At 42.2% G+C, this 24,152-nt stretch overlaps 1 protein-coding gene across 8 annotated transcripts in view, besides 3 other annotated features; it reads left to right on the top strand.

Moving 5' to 3' along the window:
* Window positions 1-24,152, top strand: part of GLI3 (GLI family zinc finger 3) — a 303,320-nt gene that overhangs the window by 105,051 nt on the left and 174,117 nt on the right. For 7 of the 8 annotated variants that reach the window (XM_047420208.1, XM_047420207.1, XM_047420205.1 and 4 more), the window contains one exon: window positions 10,750-10,992. In XM_047420208.1, the coding sequence (XP_047276164.1) occupies window positions 10,750-10,992 (243 nt within the window). Of the gene's footprint in view, window positions 1-6,764; window positions 6,866-10,749; window positions 10,993-24,152 lie in introns of those variants that run through there. The other variant, XM_011515274.3, reaches the window with a different exon arrangement.
* Window positions 5,179-7,089: an enhancer, noted in NCBI's record as "VISTA enhancer hs111". NCBI's record gives its function as "enhancer in: forebrain[4/4]" and the evidence as "EXISTENCE:transgenic organism evidence [ECO:0001131][PMID:17130149]".
* Window positions 11,309-13,215: an enhancer, noted in NCBI's record as "VISTA enhancer hs1586". NCBI's record gives its function as "enhancer in: limb[3/3]" and the evidence as "EXISTENCE:transgenic organism evidence [ECO:0001131][PMID:17130149]".
* Window positions 20,055-20,565: an enhancer, noted in NCBI's record as "NANOG hESC enhancer chr7:42178252-42178762 (GRCh37/hg19 assembly coordinates)". NCBI's record gives its function as "activates a minimal SCP1, AML or CMV promoter by ChIP-STARR-seq in naive H9 embryonic stem cells {active_cell/tissue: H9 hESC(naive)}" and the evidence as "EXISTENCE:reporter gene assay evidence [ECO:0000049][PMID:30033119]".

The raw sequence follows: 24,152 nt of genomic DNA, 5'->3' as shown, positions 1-24,152 counted from the left end.
CACAAGCCAAATACTTAGGCTGCTTCTTGCATCTAAGCGTTCATCACAGTCCCCCTGAAGACAGTGTTTTTTTTGTTTGTTTGTTTTGTTTTTTTGCAAAATAGCTATTCAGAACCTGGAAACCCTATAGAAATGGGGAGGTGTGGGGAGAAATAGGGTGACAAGAAGATAATTTAGCCACAGCATGAGAGGTGTCATTTACACTGCAAGATACTAAATGTGCCCAAGGCCTGAGCTTGACAAAAGTAACAACAGCGACAACAGAAGTAGAATGAGAAATTCGAAGAAGTTTCTGAACCATGTTTCATTCATGACTCTGGCTTAAAGTTTACAGTTAAGTTCGTTTGATTAAAGTCTGTAGTATTCTTCCTGACGGCCTTTAGAGGAAGAGGCAGAATAATTTTAACAATGAAAATAGTCTTCAGCTGGGCGCGGTGGCTCACATCACGCCTGTAATTCCACACTTTGGGAGGCCGAGGCGGGTGGATCACCTGAGGTCAGGAGTTCAAGACCAGCCTGGCCAACATTGTGAAATCCTGTCTCTACTAAAAATACAAAAATTAGCTGGGTGTAGTGCTTGGCTCTCTCTCTCTCATGCTACTCAGGAGGTTGAGGCAGGAGAATGGCTTGAACCTGGGAGGCAGAGGTTGTAGTGAGCTAAGATTGTGCCTTTGACCTCCAGCCTGGGCAACAAGAGTGAAAGTCCATCCCAAAAAAAAAAAAATAGTCTTCACATGTACAGATAGAACAGTGGCAAGCAAATGAATGCTCTCAAAAACTCCTCACAGAAGCCACATTTTAGGGGTTAATAGTAATTTATAATACAAAGGAAAGTCATGCCAAGCTGGGCACTTACCTGAAGGGTGACTTTAAGCCAGTCGCTTAATCTTTGTTAAACCTCAGGACGTTTAGCTGAATAACTGGTTGATGATACTGCATCCTGGACAGGTCTGTGAAGATTCAGTGGGATTAACGCATGTGGAGCACATAGCACTGGCCTGGCGTTTAGTAAGTGCTCAATAAATGTGAGGCGCAGAGTATAGTCTAGTGTTGTTAACGCATTTCCCATTTATGCCTTTCCAGAGTGGGCTGGTAAAAGCTGAGTTAACAAGTTTTCAGGGAGGGACCTTAGGGTATTTTTGACATTTTGGGGAGGTGTTTGCATATGCATAGGAGATAATTAAAATGATATAATTTTACATAGGCTAATTTATCAAAATGATATAATTTTACATAGGCTAATTTTACATAAAATGACATAATTTTACATAGGCTAATTTATCAAAATCTTTTAAAGTCCTATACCAGCGGGGGGTGTTATTAATATGTGCACACCTAGCCTCCTGTATCTTAGCTATGTTCTATTGTTTCAAGGGATGGAATAAATAGTTTAAAGCAAGGCTTCAACAGATAAACTTGTGGGATAATTTTTCAATTTGTATGTACTTAATTTGAACTTCTTTAGATAATTATAGTAAAGGTCATACATAGAATTAAAAATAAAAGACAAACAAATCAGCTTTTTCTGTACTCTAAATGATTGAGAAATATAAGTTAAAAATCCATACAAATATTTTTATGCTAATTGGTGCATTTCCTTGACATTTTTCTTTTTGTTTAGAAATTTTGTATAGAAATAATTATATATTTCTCTTCCTCCCACTTCCTTTCGTCCAAAAATTCGAATCCTTAAACAATTTAGAGACATGGCAGCCTGGTGGCTAAGTGAGTGAACTCCTGGGGCTGTGGTGTGAGGAAGGAGAGCAGCTAGCGTCATGTCTGTGGCCATGAAGGTGTGCTTTGTGAGAGGTGAAATTTTGTGGCCTTTCTCTCCTCCCTCATAGGCAGTACCTGAGCCATTATCTGAGATTTTGTAAAGGTACAGACTTTTGTGGCTAACTCACTAGAAGCAGGCTGCTTAGATACAATTGTGAAGAATCAAAAGGTGGTATTTTCATTTGGGTTTCTCAAATGCACATTTCATAGCTGAGGTCAGTGGGCCATAGCTAAAGGGGGTTTCTGTTGCAGAAACCTGACCCGGGCAGCACCTGGCCTTTGCCCAGAGGCTGATTGAGTGTAGGTGAGCCTTGCTGTCTGTCCCTCATGGGGGTCATGTGGCCTCTAGCTCCTTTTGGTACAATAATGGTATTATCGTGATATTTAAATGCACTCTCCAGGAGCGCCTGATTCCTGCAAGGGCATAAGCATGGTCTCTAAAATGTTATTAAAAATATAATACCACCATATGCTCAGGCTTTCTCATTCCGTGATCTTCTAAAAACAAAAACATGCAACATAAACACACCAGATGCAGCCCATTAAGTTTGTGTTCACTTCTGCAGTTTGGAAAAATGTTAGAAAGGTTAGGAAATAGAACTTTGCTGGTGATGGGAGGAGGGTGTGGACCTGGGAACCAGCATCTGAAAGCACTGCCAAAGGAAGAAGCTGCTGCACACAGAGGTTTATTCCTTCGTGCCTTTAAAGGAAAACCAAGCTGTAAGTCCTCTGGCCACACAGGGGCTGGGCCAGATCTCCAGAGTGATAGGATCATTCCCATCGGAGGATGCAGCCAGGTGGCAGCAACCTGGACACTCTGGCCTTCTGAACAGGCCTGTCATTGTTTCTGCTTAACTGTTGGCCGTGGATCTCGTTATGGAATCTTAACTGCTCAGGTCTGTATGTGCAAAGTAAGAAAGAGAGACTCTTCATTCTTTGCTTGTCAAAGACTAAAACTGAATTCTCAAAGAAATCTCGAATACCTAAATGCTCATGAGACTGTGACTCACAGAGAGAGATAGTCATAAATGTGCTACCAAGCAAAAGGCAAAATTTTTGACCCTCCAGGGAATTTATTGTACTGCCTTTGATGCCACTAATTAACTCACTCTGTGTAAGCAGCGACTGGCAACTAATAGCAGACTAATAGAAGAAGCTCCATGACGTTGTTTTAGAATTCTTAATTCAAGAAAGAGTCTTGGCAAGAGCTTGAAAAATAAGGTAGATCTCCTCCCTTTTAAAGGCGAACCCGCTGGGGCCCTCAAGGGTACTGTTTTGTTTATATTTTCCTGTTCTCAAGTGCATGCTGGATTTGGCAAGTCTTTCTGTAGGGAGCTTTGAAAGATGGTTAGTACCCTTGGGTTTGTGCTTGCACTTAAGTGCCTGTTCAGGGCAGTGTTCAACCAGGTCACAGCAATCTTCGCTGACCTCGTCATCAGTGTTCAGAAGCATCCTCCCGGGGGTAGAGATGGGGCTGCAGACCTCTTATTTGTGAGGGTTCAGGGGCACAGGAAAATGTATGGAAACCCTATGGGCTACAGGGCATACTTGCTGAAGCTTCAGACAAGCTGATAGTGTTATCTGCTCATCATTGTCATTATCTTTTTAAAAAAAAAATACAGGAGGCAGCTTGCTCTGCATGCCATCAAAGCTTTCTGCTGCAGTGAGGGGAACAGCCATTTCAGGTTTTACATTTTCGTTTATCTGAATTCTCATCTTGCTCTCTCTGCCCACTCCCTTCTATCCCAGGGACCTCTTTTGAAGTTGAATGGAGCTCTGTAAACTGAGCAGTTGGGGAGTGAGGTGAGAATTTTGCCTTGGTTTGAGCTCTAACCTGCTGCTCTTTGGAGCAAATGGTTTCCAGTGGAAGCCATTGGGATATTGGTCAGTCTAGATTATGTTTTATTCTTTGGTAAAAAGAACAGTAGAAATATGAAAACAATTAAGCTACTCTATGGCTCTGATGGAGGGCATTTTCTTTTTCTTTCTTTTTTTTTTTTTGGAGACTGAGTTTCACTCTTGTTGTCCAGGCTGGAGTGCAATGGCGTGATCTTGGCTCACTGCAACCTCCGCCTCCTGGGTTCAAGCGATTCTCCTGCCTCAGACTCCTAAGTAGCTGGGATTACAGGCATGCGCCACCACACCTGGCTGATTTTGTTTTTTTAGTAGAGATGGGGTTTCTCCATGTTGGTCAGGCTGGTCTTGAACTCCTGACTTTGGGTTATCTGCCCACCTCGGCCTCCCAAAGTGCTGGGATTACAGGTGTGATCCACCACGCTTGGCCTGATGGAGAGCATTTTCTACTTTCTCTCCTTTCACCCTGGGACCTCCTGGTTGGTGAAAGTAGGAAGAGAGAGCAATCCCATAATCTTTGAGGGAGAGTTGTCACTTGAATTTCCCCAAGGCTTCAAATTCTGCTGCAGCCCTCTCATGTTGCAGGCCTGGCAGTGCAGTTTAAAGGTTGCAAACAAAGCTGAGTGCTTTCTCCTGATCCATCTGGGCCCCTCCCTCTGTCATCCGTCATTGTCAATGGGAGATGTATGTGTAGCTGCACAAGGGCAAAGTCTGACCCCGAGGGTATTGGAAATGTTCTTAGAGTGGGCATTGTTTGCTCACGCCCTTTGGAAGCCAAGCTCTAGACATTCTAGGGAGCAGCCCCTGGCTTTGGCAGAACTGCAATCTAGATGGAAAGAGGAAATATTCTGCTTTTTAAAACTACAGGAACTTTATTCCCCCTTCCTAGCGTAATTCTGCAATGCTTTTGAATATACTTAGCCTCTTCTCTTTTTCATTTCTGATCTCTCTTTGGTCAGTCTTGGGGAGAATTCTGAAACAGGGAGCGAGGACTTGGATTCCGTTGGTTTTTATTCAAAGAGCATCAACATGTAAATAACCAAAGAAATAAAAGCTGATAAGATGCAACAAATGAATAATAGGAAAAAAATGAAATAATGCTCTTTGCAAACACAGCGAAGCAATTTCCTGGGAGGAAAGGAGAGACGATTATGCTCTGTGTCTTGTTCAGGACAGGAGGGTGGGGCCCCAAGCTTCTGGAGACACATTAAAAATGCCTGGAACACACAAAGCCCCTGGCCGAGTCCTGGAGTGCGGTGGAGAGGGTGTGCAGTGCTGAGTGGGGCCTGTGTGTATCTTTGCGCGTGGTAGGGGGAGGATTGCACCTGTGCGGGTCCTCCACGTGGGTCCAGTGTCTCCCCATAGATTTGTCATTTGGGCTTCTGTCGGTGTTTCCCAGGAGTGGATTTATGTTGTCAAAAACTTAATGGGAGAGTGTCTCAGTTTTGAAATTTTCTGTGCATAGCAATGTCATTCCTTTTCTTTTTTTTTTTTTCTTTTTACTGGTGGTAGTAGTGGATGTTGGGGCACATATCCAGGTATCATTCCAAAAGCCTACCCAGGAACAGAGCTCTTGTCCTGTTAACAGGGGACAGGGAGGTGTGGATTCAGTAAAGCATACTGGGAAGTTTCTTTGCATCACTTACTCACCTGGGACATGACGGCTAGTTTCTGAGCTGGGCCTAATACCTTGTCCTACCGCCATCATTGGGTTGCTGTGAGGATCACATGAGATGATGTAAATAATGATGGGAAAGGGTTATTTCTTTTCTTAAGGATGGGGAAGATGTTTGCTTGTGAGGGGTCCAGATTAGTCAACAACATATTTATGGAGCCTCAGTCCTGTATTTTAATTCATTTGAACGTGACTTTATTATATCATTCAATATAGAAGTTACAAGGTTTCACAAACTCAGACCTTAAATATGGAAATAGTATTTTCTTGTTAGAATCTCATTTGGCTAGAAATCTGAGTATCCTCCGGTCTTTCCCCCCACCCCCCCTTAACATTTTGTTGCCTCCTCCCTGCCCGCCCCATCCTCCCTTCATTTTGGCTGGCTGCAACCTGAGTGCCACTTTTCTGGGAAAGCCTGATATTCTGACTTCAGTTTTGTAATTTAATGATGGAGAGTTTCCTTAGTAAACCAAATTTAGAGTCCTAGAATGCTTATCTTATATCCAGACCTTGAACATAAAAGGCATTTTATACCCGCAATTGTTCATTTAATGAGCAATTGCAGAGTGCAGGCCGGTTAAGGGATTGAGCTATATGCACTATTATTGCAAGAAGTATTCCGAAATACCAGAAATAGGACGTAAGCTCTGATCAGGGAGACTGCGAGCACAATTACCTTCTTTTCAAATCCTTCTGTGACACTGCGGGAGGAAAAAGGACTTTGAAACTTGAAAGGAAAGAGCTTGCTTTCAACCTCAAAAGCTAGGAGGAAAGGGCTCTGAAATTTGCTCAGAATTCCCAATTCACCATTAGCCTGTTTCTTCCTTTAGCCTCAAGGCATTCTCCGCTTTTTGAAAAGATGTTAAGAAATTCAGTCACAATAGAGAGCCTAGTTTTGAACATGTTTCACTCGGTCCATTGAGGTCTAGGCTCCAGCCTTTGTGTGGGGTGAATTGAGCTGAGCGGCTAGCTGGTTGGAGAGAGGTGAATGAGGAGTCGCTGTGCACTCGCAAATTCTGGCAAAGAAAAAAGCTCACCCCTTCCTTTATTTTACAATATGCATTCCTGTACAATCCTGCTAGTGGCAATATGTGGAGTGGAGCCTGTTCTTAAGTCAATACAGAGTACTTGGTTTATAGCAACTCTTGTTAAGTTTGTCTTGTAATTGAAGCTGCTGTTGACCTTGCTTGGGGACCATTTGTAAAACCGTTTATTTAGCATAAACTGAAATAATAAACCCTCCTTCTCTCAGGCTGATTGTGATAGGGTGACATTAGTTTGATTTAATGATTAGCCGCCTGACCCTTCTGCTGGAGAGAGAGGCTTGAATAGGGAGAGTTCACTCGGAAGCACTCAGAAAGAATACTAATGAGCTTGTTAAATTTAGCATGGCTCCAACCACTTTTAATTCCTCTAATGGGAGCAGCATTGCCTGGGAGAGGGAGAGGGAGAGGGAGGCAGAGAGATACCGAGAATGTTCCTAGAGGGTCTGCGCAGCTAGAGAGAGCTCACCAAGAGAAGTTGGCGCAAAGTAGCTAGCCAGAGCCTGGGGACTGTGTTGTAAGTATTGTCTGTTCTCTTATACTCCGCATCTTCTAGGTCTTGGGACAAGAGAGGAGTAGTGGGTATTAAAATGGGTTTTAAGGGAAAATCAATGTTAAGTGGGAAAAGGGGGTGAACACGTGTACTGTGAGCTCCTAATCAGCTAATTTTGTTAGGTGACAGGAGGTGTCCTTAGTTAGTGATGCCTGGCAGAGTTTTGTTTTTATCTTGAAGGAATCACCTGAAACTTTTCTTTCAAGTCATGGACAGAAAAAAACAAAACAAAACAAAACAAAAAAACCCGAAACCTGTTCCCTCGGTTACCATGAGAAATCGGATAGATGTCTGTCTGCAAGCGCCCACAAGTGCGTGTTCGAGTCCTGCTTCATGCAGCAACGTGATTACCTTCTCCAGACTTTTATTGCAAACGTCCTAAGCACTGCTTGCAAGGACCCCACTTTTTTTTTTTTCTGAGTTTCTAGCACCAAGAATATCTGACTTGATGTCACTTGCTTTTGGATGAGTTTGGAAATTCTGGGACAGTTTCTAAAACGTGATGCTTTGGGCAGCTCTCTGGGGGCAGGGATTTGTTAACTTCCACTTGAGCATGGATATGAAAAGAGAAGGAGGTACAAAGTGGGATTATGATGACAGTATTTAAAGTCATTTTTTCCTGAAAGATTTTAGTGAATTGCATGTTTCGGTTTGACCCCCGAGCTTGCAGCTGTTAAACATAGAGAAGCGGGAACAGTTGCCTTGTGTTTGGCTGTTAAAGTCCATTGGCAGATGCTCTTGGAGCAGTGGGCTGTTTGCTTACATTTTTGCAGCAGACTTCTGCCTGTTGCCATGGTGGACAGTGTGTTTCTGTCAATAATTTGGCCTGGCGTAGCCTGTCTGCACTGACTCTCAAACTTTATTGAACAACTCGGCTCAACTGAACAAGATTAGACAGCTTTCGTCTTTTGGCTTGCTGAAGTGGTTGCTAAATTTATAAGAGCAGGCAGGAATATTGCTTGGAAAGTGTCCCTTTCACTGTATACAGAGTGCTTTCAAGCCTCGTAGCTGTTTGTATTGTGGAGTGTGTATACTGTCAGGTTTTCATATGAATGCCCGTCAAAAGCAACTTGGTACAGGAGGTAAACTTCATGAAGTATTTGTCTGCTGGAGTTTTCCTTTTGGAGCGGGGAGGTGTGGTTGGGTAAAATTAGGGTAGCACTGACTATTGTAAAAGCAAGTTTCCTGATGGAAGTTTTCACGTAAAAAAAATTCCTGCCTGCATTTAACTTTACTAAGGGAATAGTAATTTTAATTTAATTTTTTCCATATTAAAAATGTGCACTTCGGTTACTTCTTGTTATAACTTTAATATTTACTTTTGTTGGGTGAACTCTCATTAAGAAAATCATTGAGCTAAAAGGTACCCTCATTTCCACTCACCCTCCCCACTCCGCCGCCCCGATTACCCTCCTGAGTTTATTCTCTCAAGAGGTTGGGGGAATGGTGGGAAGAGTCTCTGGCCAGACCATAACCCATTCATTATTCAGTTATTTGTGAGGTTGGATTCAAATGCTCATCATAAACATGTAGTTTTTAAGACAGGGTTTATTATAGGGATGCCGTTTTAAGAGAAGAAAAGTTAATTTATTCTAGGACAATTAAGTCAAGGAAATCCTGTTTTAAACCTGGAACAGGTTAGCCGAGTTTGGTTATTCATCTTTCCCAGAGAATGCTAATTATGTGTCAGAGCCCCCCTGAGGAAGGGTTTTCTGGCCTCCAAATGAAGGTCCCTTTCTACAGAATTTGCACCTCAGTGCTAGAAGTTCATTTCAGATTTAAGTTTGAAATAAAGGCTTTATACAGAGCACAAATTAGTGGAAAATATGACTTGGGCCATTTGTAGGTTATGGGAATTTTTATAAAACTGACATAAGTTTTAGTGTTTTTGACACCCTTTTGCTTTTACGTAACTGCAAAATTCTTATTCTATAGACTGTGAATTTTCTGCTAATGAAGTACAAGGGTGACCTACTGCCTAAAAATATTAGTTAGAGGGGAAAATAAAAATGTATTTTGTCTTTTGTAGTTTGTTTTAAAATTGCAAGGAGCATGGTATGAATTGCTTTCATAGAGATCAATGTGAACATGTGAGATTACAGGATTTTTTTTGTTTTTGTTTTTACTTGATAGATTAAACATATAATTTACCCCTTAATTATAAAGTTTGGGATGAGGATCTGCACAAAACATTATTAAAATAATATTTCACAGTTACCTTGTAGTAGTCAGCAAATTCTCTGTAAAGACCAAAATATACCTCATTGTCTTTTCTGTTCTGCAAGTCATTTGCTAAGGTAAGGAATATATTGCTTAGTTTTCAAGTCCTACACACAGGCAGAAAGACTAAACTTGCTGCTGGCTTTAGGTAGTTCAAGTCCTGAGTCAACATAAATAGTATTTGTTATTTTCGGTTTGTATTTTTATGCAAGTCTGTGTTTACAGTTCTACTTTCTTCTGAATTTGAACAAAGTTATGAAACTGCTAAAGCATTATTCTTATGTTTATTGGGGGAGCCCTTAGTTAATCATATCTGCTTTATGGATTATTTTGAAGATAAATTTGTATATGAGAATAAGATGTGCTCAAGATCTATTTATCTAAAATGCACAACAATATTATTATTTATACCCAAATACAGTTTTTTTTTAAGATAGGAATAGGAAACGGTTTTTACATTAGATGTCTAAGTGGTACCTGGACAGCAGCTTTCTTTCCATCAGCACTTATCTGCCAGAGCACAGTCTGTTGATTAAATGTGGAACTTGTTTAGGAGCATGTAGTTTAGAGTTCATGTATGATTCAAAGAGATGAATTGGTCCACTTGTTGTGGGTTCACATAGGCAGTGTGATTTAATTTTATGCATGGGTTCTTTGATCTGCTATTATAGAAAGGTCATCCAATCACATTTGCAGAGAACCATAGTGGAGAAATGGAAAGTTCTTACTGATCGAAGGGAACTGAAGTATTAGGAAACTGGAATACCCGCTGTATATGGAATTTCTTCAAGCTGTTTCTTACATGTTTGAAGAAATGTATGGACCCATCAGAGCATGGACACATATCAACATCCCCCACACCTTCCTTCCTCACCCTCAGAGCCATCTCACACCTGGACTTTCAGTCTCACTCTGTGTTCCTCTTAGGTCTCAGCTTTGTTGTATGGACAGAAGCAGGAAGTATCTCACGAGAGGCTCTGTAGGTTTTCATGATTGGCACCTTTATCCCTTTTCACCAATGAGTTTTCTGTTCCATTTTTGGCTCTGTCAAATCTCTTGCTGGGTTACAAATCTGACTTAAAACAACAAAACAGCATAAACTTTTGGATAGCTTCCTAATAGGTCATTCTCTAGGAGCAAAGGCCCTACATCCCCTGGAGCAACCAGAGCCTCAGTGGGTAGCTGGAAGGACTTTGTGTCACCCCGGAGGCCCCGCGTCCCCAGGCAGGCAAAGGGAAGCTGGACATGCACAGTCTTAGATTGGCAAAGGTTTCAGTTCCACGTGGGACCTGCAAGATGTTGGCCAGCCCATGAGCAGAAACCTCATGGGCAGACCCATCTAGAAGCTGGTGATGCCAATTTGCCAACCCCTACATCTCAGTTTAATAGGCTCATTTCCTGCTCTCCTTCATCCTTCCCTGTGTATTTGTGTACTTTGGACCCTCATTCATAAACAATTTTGTCTGCAAAGATCCCATCCCAGCCCTGTAGCTCTCAAAGTTGCTGTGAATGAGAAAGATACTTCTTTTCCGGGAGAGGGATATCGAGAATGAGACCTAATTGATCATGGTTTTTTAATTGCTCCTTAAAGTAGTTTACAGAGTCTTTCATTTTTCTTCTTTCTTTAGAGGATGAAAGTCCTGGACAGACTTATCACAGAGAGAGAAGAAACGCAATCACTATGCAGCCACAGAATGTCCAGGGGCTCAGCAAAGTCAGTGAGGAACCTTCAACATCGAGTGACGAGAGGGCCTCATTGATCAAGAAAGAGATCCATGGGTCCCTGCCACACGTGGCGGAGCCCTCTGTGCCGTACCGCGGGACGGTGTTTGCCATGGACCCCAGGAATGGTTACATGGAGCCCCACTACCGTAAGTGCCCATGCCAGTCGGCACTTGTTCAGGAGCTATGGGGAGGGCTGTGTGTGTGTGTGTGTGTGTGTGTGTGTGTGTGTGTGTGTGCGCGCTTTATGAAGTTTTGGCTTGTATAATTTATTAAAAGGTGTAATTTTCTTTCCACTTTCCTTCTTACTTTCCCTACTTCTTTCCCATTCTTTTTAGAGAGAGATGTTTTCTTACGTCTCTAAGCAACATCAGTCTTCAGTGGGGCGGCCTTCAGGAGAGTGGTCCATTTGTGACTAATCCACATGAGACTTTTGTTGAGAAGTAGAACTAGAGTTACTCCATCCAAACAGATGCTGCAGGAGAAAAATTTGTTGTTATGAAGTTATGAAAGCAGGCTGCATTAAGAGAAGTGCTCAACAGCCGCAATTCCCATTTTTAATGATTTTTTAATGTAATGATTTTGCCTATTCCCATTTTTGATGGTTTGTAAAAACAAACCTCTTTTAACAAATCTGTGCTAAATTCCTTAAAATGGAAGATTTTCCTTTGTGCTGTATTTTCCTCTCTAACCAGCGTGCCAGACACATCAGAAGCTCCTTTCTCAGCACTAATCACGTTTAAGAAATTAACTAGGACTCTGAACTCATGTATGGGATGGTTTTCTCCAACGGCAGAATATAAAGAAAAATGTATAAGGGTTGAGTTTATTTCTGACCTGTTTCTAGTTAAAAAAATACAATTTGGTTGTGGAGTAATGAAGTTCATATTGAGGTGCCAAAGCTTGCAGCTCTTGATTACAGATTTATCACCTTGCCAGGATTCAGACTTGCCATTTAACCTTCCCGGCTCCAATTCCAGATGATCCATTGAGCTCCAGTGAGGGGGACTGGTTTGTGTTTCCCCTTTTCCACATCATTCAGAAATTTTAGTGTTTTAAGGCAAAAGGTCATTAGCCAGATGACTGATTAGTGAGGACAGCTGATTAGTGCATGTTTTTTTGCTCAAGAAAGTGCCCAGGATAAAAGCTAATTTCATCCCTTCATTAGTTGGCTTGCAGCAAAGGGGAATGCTCACTCCTCAGATCAAAGGGCCTCGCATAACCTTAAGTCTCAGCAACCGCTACCCCGCACCACCTCCCCCCCAACCAGATTATATTGTTGGAAAAGATGGAAGCTACATTATTTTTTTTAAGTGGAGAGAGCATTTTTTAAAAAGTGGTCAGAAGCACGGAGGGTAGTTTTCTGGATTCTTCTAAGCTTTTGAAAAAGGTTACAACTTCTCTGTTTCAAAAGTGCTTGTCCATCTTATTTCTGCAGATACAGAAATAAGGAGGAAGGCTATTGGGCTTGTTCCTTCCTTCATTCAGGGTTTACTTAGTTTTATTTTATTCATCTTTCCTTTTAGTAATGAAGGTTTAAAATAGCCTTGGTAGGCTTTTTCTCTGAGCACATTCCTAAGTTTTCTGCATTGTATTTTTATTTGTGAGTCTCTTTTAAACATCATCCATGCAGAAAATGTGAGGGACTCCTACATGCTTTCTACCTGTATTTATAGACCCCAGTAGTAGACTTACTTTTTAAGAAAAATTCAGGCTAGACTCTTAGCCAAAGCTCCCTGCATTGTTTTTGTTCTTATGTGTGAACACAAACTTTTCCCATCTCATATTTATGTTTTGTTGTCTTTTCAAGATGCCCACTAATTAGTGAGGTATTTAATTAGTCAGGACAGCTGAAGAGTACTTCTTTTTTGGCTGACAGTAGTGAGCAGATAACCGTTAACTTTCTCTCTGTGCCATTCAACTTGCAGCTTGTTCTTGGTTCGTTTGTTTTAACGGTTTCCCCCATTGAATCTTCCCGTCCTCTGAGGGGCTGGGAGCTCTCTACACCTGGGACCCTTGTCTTCCTTCAGCGGTGCAAGTGGGACCCATCTCCTGGACCTCCAATGTCCTATTAACTAATGATGGGCACGGGAGAGCTCTTAGGGGGATCTGAATTCATTCATCATCACTCTGTTTTGAGGTTACAGCATTCATAGTGGATTATTCGTTACATTCTCCCACAATATTGTCCAAATCAGTGTTAAAATTATGTGATAACTTATAAACTGTATAAGTTCTCTGTAACCAAATGGCAAATACAATTTTGACCTACCATCCCAATGTACTCCCTAAATTGGTCATAAATTACATTATTATATAGATAATATGGATGGGAAGTCCTAAAGACTGCACAGATTGGCTCAACACTTGGGAATTTGGGTTCAAGGTCCAGCTTTGTCACTTGCTAGCTGTGTGACCTTGACAAGTGTGCTGATCCCTCTAGGAATCCTTTCCTCACTGTGGGATAGGGTGATAATATGACTGCCTGCTCCATGGTGTTCTTGTGGAAATTGAGACAATGCAAATAAAGTATTAACTAAAATCTCTGGCACATGTTAAGTGCCTCAAATGTATTAAGGTAGTTCTTCTCTGCTTTCTCTTCCTCCTTCTCCTCCTCTTTTTTTCCTTCTCTTCTACATCATCATCCTCCTCCTCCTCATCATCATCAATATGTGATAAGTTGACTCTCTAAGTCATGTTTGTGAGGGTTGCACTTGTATTTGATTCAGTGTAGACTGTTTTTTTTTTTTTTCTTTCTTTCTTGCCAGACCTGGTCACCTGCTTGCCTGAGACCAGTTTCTTCTATAACACAGATTAAGAATTGAGCAAACTGCAAACCTGTAACTGTGGTGTCGTTAGAGCTGTGCACTGTGGCCTTCTGAACATAATCTTTTCTCAGTCAACCTCAGTAGATCGACTATAACTTTTTTCTGTTTTGTAAGTGAAGAAATTGTAAAGATTTTAAATGAGTTTGAGAAGTGTTAACATTTTAAATTCTTAGCAGAAAGTGTTTTATGTAACAAATGCAAACTTTAATACATGCAGGAACATAAAAGATATAGTATTATTTATTCATATTGAATATTTAAAGACATCCTAAACTAAGCCTCAGCATCATATGGGATATGACTTTACTTTTTCTTTAGAACTCTGTTGGATTACTTAATCTCCTGCCAGTATCACAAGTATTTTTTGAGATACTTTATAATAAAATCTATCTGCTCACATGGATTTAATTATCCAGGCAAAGCTAATGATTGATGTGAATTGAAGGTGATAAATTTTCCATGAATTTTTTAGTGTATGAAGAAATGCCCTCTTTTTAAAATGAGACATACAGTTTTGGTCACATTTGTTTATCTTGTGGGCATAGCTTGTCTCAGTCGTGGGCCCTGTCAACAATACAAGCGCATTGCAGACCTTCAGTAGCTCAAGTTCAGAAACATCTTTTTAGGCCAGTCCCCTTGCCCTTGAGTTATTTGCTAGCTCTGCTGAGCCGGTCAAAAGAAAAGACTCCTCTAATCCAGTGGGCTGGCCATGTGAACACTCACAGCAATTCCTTCATTTCTCTGTGGTTGGAAATTGTAGACTCTCCAAGATGCCTAATTTGTGTTTCTATATATATGAACTTTGTATTTCTAAAGTGTGGGCAGGCTTCCTGTAAGACCGGAAAAGGGAAAACCATTTTTGTTTTTTTTTCCCCTTCAGAAGGACATCTGTAAAATTTTTATTGCACAAGATTTTATTATATTTGGGTATGCAATGTTGCATCTTCAGAAATTGTAGTTAGGCAAAAATCAAAGTATTTTAGGTTTTGTGGCTTAAAAAAAAAAGAAAAAAGAAAACTCAGGGACAGCGGGCACTTCAAACATTCACAGCATATGTTTAGAATAAAATCTCCCGGGGGGATACGGGGGTATTCTCTCATGAAGGGTCGCAGTGGACGGGCTGTATATCAAGGCGCAAAAGTAGACGTTTTAGATGCATGACTCAGACATGGCGTGGTGTTGACAGGCTTTCAGCTACAGGATCACTGGCGCTTTATAATTTGGGGGAGCGTGGTAGGGGTTAGATTGGAGGACCTGATCTTGTATCAGAGTCAGGGTAAGAAGCCCCATCCTCTGCCCAAAGATTCCTCAGCAATTTTCTTCTGCCCATGCTCTGTCTGTAGCCAGGTATTTCTAACCGCCATCTCTCCCTGCTTTCATTGACTGCCATGCATTTATCTTCTATAAACTTTCAAAGGCAGGTGACATAATAGTTAAAGCATTCCTGTACCCTGGCCGACACTTAACTTTTATTCGCTTCCCTTTTACAGAAAACATGTGTTGCATTGTCTTCTGTCTTACTGTCAAGAGTCTAGTTTTTAAACTCTTCCTGCAGGGATCTTTGTGCAAAGTTTCTCGGATTCACTAGTCATGTCATATTATAGGGTCTCTGCTGGCTTTGGTAAAGGGAGCAGAAAGATGCCTGCTTTTTAAAAAATTTCAGGTCTCCTTTACAGTTTTATAGTTGTGTGAAGGCTGCTTTTCTTCTGCCCCCAACTGCTCCTAAGCAGTAGTTCTTCATGGAAAATATGATTCATTCTTCCATGCAAATGCTTTGATTGAAAACATACCACTGGTATTCTTCCTATGTTCCCCAGCTCAGATGACAGAACTATTGGTTGCTAATTAGCAAAACCTGAGGAATTAGCTTAAAGAAAAAACCCTGAATTTTTAATTGGCTTGCATTTATTTTCTGTGGAAGGCTGTTGTGCTAAGCCCACTTGCATTCTTGTGTGCTAAAAAACTGCATAGATTTTTTTTCTACCTGTCTGTCTTTATATTAGGTGACTTTCCACATCCCTTTAGAAATACATCTTCTGAGTGAATGGAAGAGAGGATGTATATTTTACATATTTAATAGGTACACTTGCTCATACTTCTCTCTCTTACTATCCAAGTGTCATCTTGAGACTGTGAGAGACAAAAATGCCTAAGAGGCATAAATGAACAGTTTTGTCTTGACCAAACTGCAAAGGCAGTGACAGTTCCCTGAGCTCTTAGTTCTCTTCTCATCCAGACTGTCTTTTACATCTTTGGAGAACAGTTGATGAGCCAATCAGAAATGCTTTGTTTTTTTCCGCCCTTTGAAAATTAGATTGTTTAACCAGAAAGACTGATGTTGGGTCACACCCTGGGGGCTTTGCTAGGTCTCTTGCTTCCTAGGCTGTTAGTCTTGAATTGCAGTAAGAGCTGGAGTGAGGAGATCCAAACAAGTCCATAAACCTTTGCAAAACTATTATTTGTGAGCTTGAGAATAGCTCCCTGCTTATTCTTGTCTTTCTCTTAGAAATTCAATAGAATGACCTGGCTTTCTTTTAGTAATCCAGAGGTAATGTTTTAAGACTAGAAACAGTGAGCCACTTACATAGCCTTTTTTTTTTTTTTTTTTTTTTGGAGACAGAGTCTTGCTCTCGCCCAGGCTGTGCAGTGGCGCAATCTCGGCTCACTGCAAGCTCCGCCTCCCGGGTTCATGTCATTCTCCTGCCTCAGCCTCCCGAGTAGCTGGGACTACAGGCACCTGCCACCACACCCGGCTAATTTTTTTTTTTTTTGTATTTTTTAGTAGAGACGGGGTTTCACCATGTTAGCCAGGATCCATAGACTTTTAAAGAGCTGCATTGCAAGACAACTTGGAGCAAAGCAATACAGATTTAGGGATAATTCTTAGTGTTCCAGATTTGAACTGTTGCCAGTGAATCTTGACTACTCTTGTGCCTGATGCGACCGTGAGTCTGCGTATCTCTGTTTTAGGAGATAGTGAATGAAACTGGGAACCAACAGTGAGAAAAGTCCCTGTAGCATTTAGAAAAATTTGTTAACAATTTTATTCATCAATTTTGAGGATAAATTTATTAAAGGAGACTGGGAGAAGCTTGAAGACCACCCAGGTCAGGAAGAGAAAGAAAAGACCAAGAGAGACCGCATTTTTCTAGAGAAAATCACTTAGCCCCTTAGTGCACTGGTCCAGTCCTCTCTTCCCCTGCCGCCTGGCACTGTTCTCTTCTACAACGACTCAGCTCCCATTGGCCACTGCTCTGGTGCTGGCCCTGCCCTTGTTGCCCTGCTTGTATAGTTGTTTCTCCTGGACCAGTTACTTGCTTTCTCTTTGCCTTCAAATCCTGCTTATGTTTAAAGGCCTATCTAACAACCCACCTCCTTGGAAAGTCTCTAAGAGCCATCTTACAAGGATATTTTCCTACCGTGGACACTTGAGTAGTCATGTCATTCTCACCTTTAAACACATCACAGCTACTTCCTTGTGTTGCCCCTACCTGGTGGCCCGACCTCCTTTGGAATAATGTGATTAGTCCGAGGCAGTACTTACTTTCTGTGGGCACCAAAACTCCTAGGGTAGGACTGGGGACTCATGCGTGCCACCATAGGGCAGAGAAGTTGGGAGCTGCTCAGATGCTTATCACAGTCACCATGGAGGTGGAATTCCAGGTGACCCATGCTCACAGCCTGCCCATCAGAGTGGCTTCTTGACCACCTGAAGAGACATTGCTGTTTCTGCTTCCCTTCTACAATTTAGTTATTGTACACAACCTCTGATCCAAACTTAGTCACCTAATCCTTCCTGAGAGCAGGCAATGTACAAAGTATTTATGGTACATTTGTACATTTGTAAAATCTGCATTTTTTTATTTTTTATTTTTGAGGCGGAGTCTTGCTTTGTCACCCAGGCTGGAGTGCAGTGGTGCGATCTTGGCTCACCGCAACCTCCGCCTCCCAGGTTCAACCCATTCTCCTGCCTCTACCTCCCAAGCAGCTGGGATTACAGACATGTGCCACCTCGCCTGGCTAATTTTTATATTTTTAGTAGACACGGGGTTTCGCCATGTTGGCCACGCTGGTCTTGAACTCCTGACCTCAGGTGATCCGTCCGCCTAAGCCTCCCAAAGTGCTAGGATTACAGGCTTGAGCCACCTCACTGGCATAAGGCAGGGACTTCGATTCTTTGGAATAAGCTGGCATTTCACTCATAGACTTGGATGGGGACCGTAATTTTAAGTACTGTAAGATTAACACAGGAGAGCTGCCTCTCTTCCATGACACCCATCTGGCATCGAACAAGTAGGTATTTTCCCTGTGGTTAAGGGGAGCATGATGTTTGTTTGCCTTTTTCCAAATTTCAGTGATGTATCTTGTCTTCAACAGCCTCTAGGCAATTCATATTTTGGTAACATCTTCCCAACTTAGCATCCAAGTATGCGTCTGATCCATGTTGATGGGAGGCCCCATCTGCAACTCAGTTCAGGATCATGAATCCAGTTGCTTAAAGATTCCATGTAATTATTTATCTTTTCTAATTTGGCACCCACCCAAATGGCACTTTTTTAGTAGTTGCTTGTGATTTCTTTCCCTCCGTCCTTTCCCTCCCTGTTTCCTTCCTTCCTTCCCTCCTAGAGTAAAGCATGAGAAACAGCAACTCTTGCCATTTCATAGCCATCTGCTAACAGCTTTCCCTCCCGCTTTCTTAATAGAGGCAACATTATCCTCGGCCCTCCTCCTTTTTCTTGTATAATTAAAGAATGTTACCTTTGATGTCTCTTGAAGCTGCAATCTCCCATCCTGCCTTAGCTTTCTTGATCTCATACCTGTAAATTTGTGCTGTATCTTCATAGTTCTTAGGGAAAGGGCTTGATTTTTCTCTGTGTGCTGTTCACAGTTTGGGTTAATTTAGAGTAACCGATCTGGCATTTTATTGCTCTCTTCTCCCTGTCTTCTGATATAGTTTGGATTCTTGTTGTACGCTTTGAAAAGGATCCAACTTCCTCAATTCTTTAAGCTATTAAATTTGGGTCTATCCTACAATGGACTGTTCTCATCATTCTAATGTCTTCACTTCTTTTGAGGGGGGCCAGGCTTTTCATTAACCTCAGTTTTTCAATGAGTTTCTTCTTCTTAGATCAAAATAAAGCAAGATTCCATTTGATTCCTTTAGCTATTTATTTTTGTGTTCATTCTGTCAGTCATGTATTAATTGAGCATTTGCTTATTGAGTGTCACCTAAGTGCTAAACAGTGTTGAACAAAATGAGCAAGTGCCTGCTTCTGTTGAGCTTTAGGCCATCGAAAAGTCAATACAAGGGAGCTGTCAGGGGAGAGAGAGTGAGGAGTCCTTTGGGAGCAGGTGAGGGACTTACCCAGCCTTGGCAGTCCAGAAGGCCTCCCGGAGGAGGTGATATCTGAAAGAGGTGAGGAAAGAGTAATCTAGGCAAAAAGGAGCATTTGTCAAGGCCTGGAAGCCAAAGGAAGAACTGACATCTGCAGGACTTGAGAAGAATCTTTGTGGTTGGAGGGTGAATTTCAGGAGGGAAGTGGCAAAGACAGGGCTCAAGAGGTCCAGGCCAGCAGGCTTCTGTGAGGAGCTGTTTGTTTCTCTCCTGCAAGAGTCTGGGGTGATTACTAAGACTTGTTCCATGGCCCTTTGTATATTTAAACAGACCTTTGGGTTCCCAATCACTTACCCAGAATTTCTCCATTGCAGAATTGAATTCACCCCTGCTTTCAATTTGACAGCGTGCGACTCCATCGCAGGTCACAGGGCTCCCCTCCCAGGCGTCCCTGGCTGGGCTGCTGTCTCATTGGTCTTTAAGGATGTGCTGCTGCATTCCTTTGTGTAGCAGGTCATATATATATTTTTTTGAGATGGAGTTTCGCTCTTGTTGCCCAGGCTGGAGTGCAATGGTGTGATCTCGGCTCACCGCAACCTCTGCTTCCCGGGTTCAAGTGATTCTCTTGCCTCAGCCTCCTGAGTAGCTGGGATTACAGGCATGTGCCACCATGCCACGCTAATTTTGTATTTTTAGTAGAGATGGAGTTTCACCATGTTGTCCAGGCTAGTCTTGAACTCCTAACCTCAAGTGATCTGCCCGTCTCGGCCTCCCAAAGTGCTGGGATTACAGGCGTGAGCCACCATGCCCAGCCAGCAGGTCATATTTTTTCTTCAAGACAACACAATTTATTTTTACTTGTTCTCAACTGCTGAGCTGCTCTGTAATAGGTAACCCCAATCACCACAATATCTTGATCACAAAGTACAAATAAAAAACATAGGAAATAACTGTGGCTTCGTTCCTAAAGAATTAACAGTGTTCTGTATCAAGGCACATTTTAATTTCCACTTACAGTGTTCAAAATGAAAAAAAAAAGCATTGAGTTTTATTTTATTGGAAAACTCCCAAATGCTCTCACATCAGTCAAGCTAGAGAAATTGTGCAGCAGGGCCAGGCTGAGGTTGGAGATAGGGCCCAGAAATAACCAAGTGAAATTCAGCTGGGAAATTTAGTAGCTAACACCACCAGGGGAGCATGAGAACAAAGACTGGCATTAGTGGATGAGCCTGCAATCCAGCCAGGACTGAAAGAGTCTCAGGGGAGAGGATGGGACCCCGGAGGAGACTTGTGCCATGCTCCCTAGGGAGCCGCAGGCCTAATCAGTGGACATTGTGAGGATCAAAGGGAGCCCACTCTAGGAAGCGGGGTGTTTACGTCGTCCACTGGGGGGACCCAGATCTGCATCCTGATTGTGCTCCTGTCTTGTGAGTGGAGTAAAAGGAGGTGCCTGTTTCCTAGGTAATTTAGACAAGAGCAGAGAAGTGCACGTGGGGGATGCTGAGAAGCAAATGCCAGCTCTTCTTCTGGTTTGCTTTCGTGGAATAAGCCTGTTTTCAAATGGGGCAAGATTTCACATTTCCTTTCCCTTCCCCTACCCCTGTGTCTCCTCTTTGTAAGAAATTTATTCCCTCCTCCCCCAGGGGTGAAGGGAAACTAACATACAATGGTAGCTTTCCTGTGACCTCGCTCCCTGCTAGAGAATCTGTGATCCACTCCAACTTGGTGTCTGTGATCCCAGCTTGGCTCAGTGAACCTGACCAAGTGGGTTGACCTTTTGATCAAATGTGCAGTTTACCTCTCATATATAGGTCTGTGAGATGCATTTTTATGTAGCCTCTATCTTTTATGATGAATGATGTTTTAAATGCAGTATGTGTTTATCACATTGCCACAGATCGATGATGTGGGAGATAGTGAACAATTGGAGACACCTGAGTGCCTCTGGGGGACTCAGTCCTTCTGATAACACTGCTGACGTGACCTGCCTCGAGTCTCACTCCATTAAGTACATGATGCATGATATTTATTTTCATTAAAAAACTTTGTGCAGTGTTTTGAGAGCCTGCTGTGAGTCAGACACTATTCTAGGTCCTGAGGGGTCAGCGTTTGCCAAAACAAATCAGGTTCTTGTTCTCAAAGCTGACATACCAGCCAGAAGAGACATACAACAAACACCTAGGCAGAGCCTTAACAAGAAGATACAGGTTGAGTACCCCTTATCTGAAATGCTTAGGACTAGAAGTGTTTTAGATTTCAGATTCTGAATATTTGCATATATAGAATGAGATATCTTGGAGATGAAATCCAAGTCTACACAAACAATTCATTTATGTTTTATATATACCTTTTCCACACAGTCTTAAGGCGATTTTATGTAGTATTTTAAAACAATTTTATGCATGAAACAATTTTAGCTGCATTTTGACTATGACCCATCACATGAGGTCGGTCAGGTGTGGAATTTTTCACCTGTGGCATCATCTCAGCTCTCAGAGTTTTGGATTTTGGAGCATTTCAGATTTTCAGATTAGGGATACTCAACCTATAGCTGGTGGTGCTCTGAGGGTAATAAACCAGGTGATGTGCTAGAGAGAGACTTGGGTAGGAATGTTGTGCCTTAGGTCAGGTGGGTGGGGCAGGGAAAGCCTTGCTCAGGAGGTGTCTTTGCAGCCAGAATAACTGAATAAAAAAAGAGAAGCTGCCCTGGGAGATCTGAGGGAGAGCATTCTACTGAAAGGTTTGCCGTGAAAAAGTACCAGGAGCGGAGAGCATGCCAATGTGGTCATTGGCCAGGGGTTGGGACAGTAGGGGGAGATGAGATTGAGGGACCTTGTGGGCCAACAAAAAGCCAGTGGAAGAAGTGTTGTGATTTGATTTTTATTTTAGGGCTGTCACTCTGGCTGGTGTGCAGTGACGTTTGTGAAGGCATGGAATGTGGAATCAGGGAGGTGACTTAGCAGGCTGCTGTTGCAGTGGCCCAGGTGGGAAATGATCCTTGCTGAAATGATAGCCAGCAGAAAGTAAGCTCTCTGTCTGCACCACAATGTTATGCCATGGGCTTTGCTCTTGAAGTCACTAAATCCCCACAAAACAACCTTATGAGCGGTTGTCATGATTTTCCCCTTTGACATATGAGGAAACTGAGACCTGGTAAAGCTAAGTAAGTTGTCCATTTTTACGTGGTTTGGAAGTGGCTGAACTGAGGTTTGAACCCGGTTTATTGGCTCCAGAACTCAGATTCTTCACCCATGTCCCATAACGGATGAGATTTCAAAATGATAGTCCAGATCTGTGCAAGAGCGTGGCTAGGTTGCCAGTGGTTTGGGATCAGCCCAGCTGGGGAGTGCTTGGAAACTATGTCCTGGAACCCAGGTGGTGGCATTGCCAGTTTTGGGCAGGGGCTTGGAGTACAAGGGTGTAGAATCAGGGAAGGCAGGCCAAATGCCACTTCGGTGTCCAGGCTTTGTTCTTATGCATCCCAGTGTCAGAGAGGCAGGAACTGGTCCTTGCTACCTCTGCCCTCCCCGTGCTCCAGGTGTTGGGTTGTAGGGGAGAATGAGACATTTCTTCTTATTTTGTTAACTGATATTTTGCAAAGAACTTAACATTACCTTACCTAGAAGTTAAAAATGGGGAAGCCTGTGGTCCTCTCTGTACCCCCATGTTTTGGAGGATGTAAGAGTTGGTACACAGTAGTAATCACCACCACAGGCCATATGTGTGATATTTCCCATGTGCCAAGCACTGGGCTGAGGACCTCATTATGTGATCTTCTTTAGTTTTCACACAAACTCATTTAGCACTTGAATTATAATTATGGAGATTATACAGCCTGCTCATGGTGCTGGTTTGAGTCTGGACTCCAGACCTCGGCTTTGTAACTGAGAAACGGAGGCCTACGTGCATTCCTTTTCTAGCTGTCTTATAAAACGTTGTCCTTCTCATGGTGCTCCTGTTGCCCCCACATCTGCTTCGTTAATGGTGCAGTGGCTTTTGGAAGATGGGCTGTCTCTTTGGATCAAAGATCTTAATTCATTATGTGAAATCTCAGTTCTCAAGAACAGTTTGTATAATAACTGGAGCTTTCACATGTCAACAGATAATACAAGCCAGTATCTGGCCCTACCTAGGCATTTTTGGGGACCAGCTCTACCAGCCATACAGAGTCCACTGTAAGATCCTTAACTGTCTCTATATGTGGTTCTACACAGGGCTGCAAACCACCCTGCCCCACCCAGGGGAGGAGGTGGTGGGAAGACAGTATCCCCTTTGTTTATAAATATACTTAATGCTTACATGTGGCAGGGGGAGAGAAAGAGAAAAAAAGTGAGAGAGAGAGACAGAGAGAAAACAGTTTTTTTCCACAAAGGCATCTTGGTATCCAACAGTCCCGCTAATATGGACAGTTCATGTCTCCTGACTTTGGTGTCTCAGATAAACTAAAAGAATCTTAAGCATGATGAAGAGGTTGGAGGAATGATTTATGAGAAAAGATCAAAAGGACTGAGTATAGATAGCAGGGCCCGTGCAGGCTAAAGACAGACATGGAAATTCTCAACCAATAACTTAAAGAAATATATGCTAAGGAAGGCCAAGACTGACACAGAGAGCTCTGAGTAGAAAATCTGTGAAAACAGTAAGAAGAAGACCACTGGGATCCCTTCCTGTCTCTGGGACCTGCAAGTAGGACTGATACTTGCTTTAAAGACAAATATGAGATATCTGCCTGGATCTGTATAAAGTAATGTTTCAGGGGACTTGATTTGACCTGAGATATATCTGGTCTGTGAGATAAAGATACATGTTGTGGCAATGCTCTCCTGCTACATCAGGAAAATAAGAAAAGGCAACATTGAGACTTTTAAGAGTGACTATAATACTCTGAGATATAGCTAGCTAGAATAGTCTAAAGATCATGAAAAATTGCTACAAGGCTTTTAGAGAAGTCAGAGGGATGAATTTTTAGATTTTTTTACTGGTTCCCCAACATTAATTGAGCTCCACACACAGTAGAATAAAAGACATGACCTTAGCGTTCTAGATTTTATAATTTGGGGAGAGAAAATAAGAAACAACACATGAAACAATTAAGTTGCATATCAACAAGTGTAAAATAGCAAGATAAAAGGCAGGACCTAGATCT

This window comes from Homo sapiens, chromosome 7 (assembly GCF_000001405.40).
Source record: "Homo sapiens chromosome 7, GRCh38.p14 Primary Assembly".
Taxonomy (NCBI): domain Eukaryota; kingdom Metazoa; phylum Chordata; class Mammalia; order Primates; family Hominidae; genus Homo; species Homo sapiens.
The sequence above is the reverse complement of the archived record's forward strand: the minus strand, read 5'-3'. Positions and strand labels throughout refer to the sequence as shown.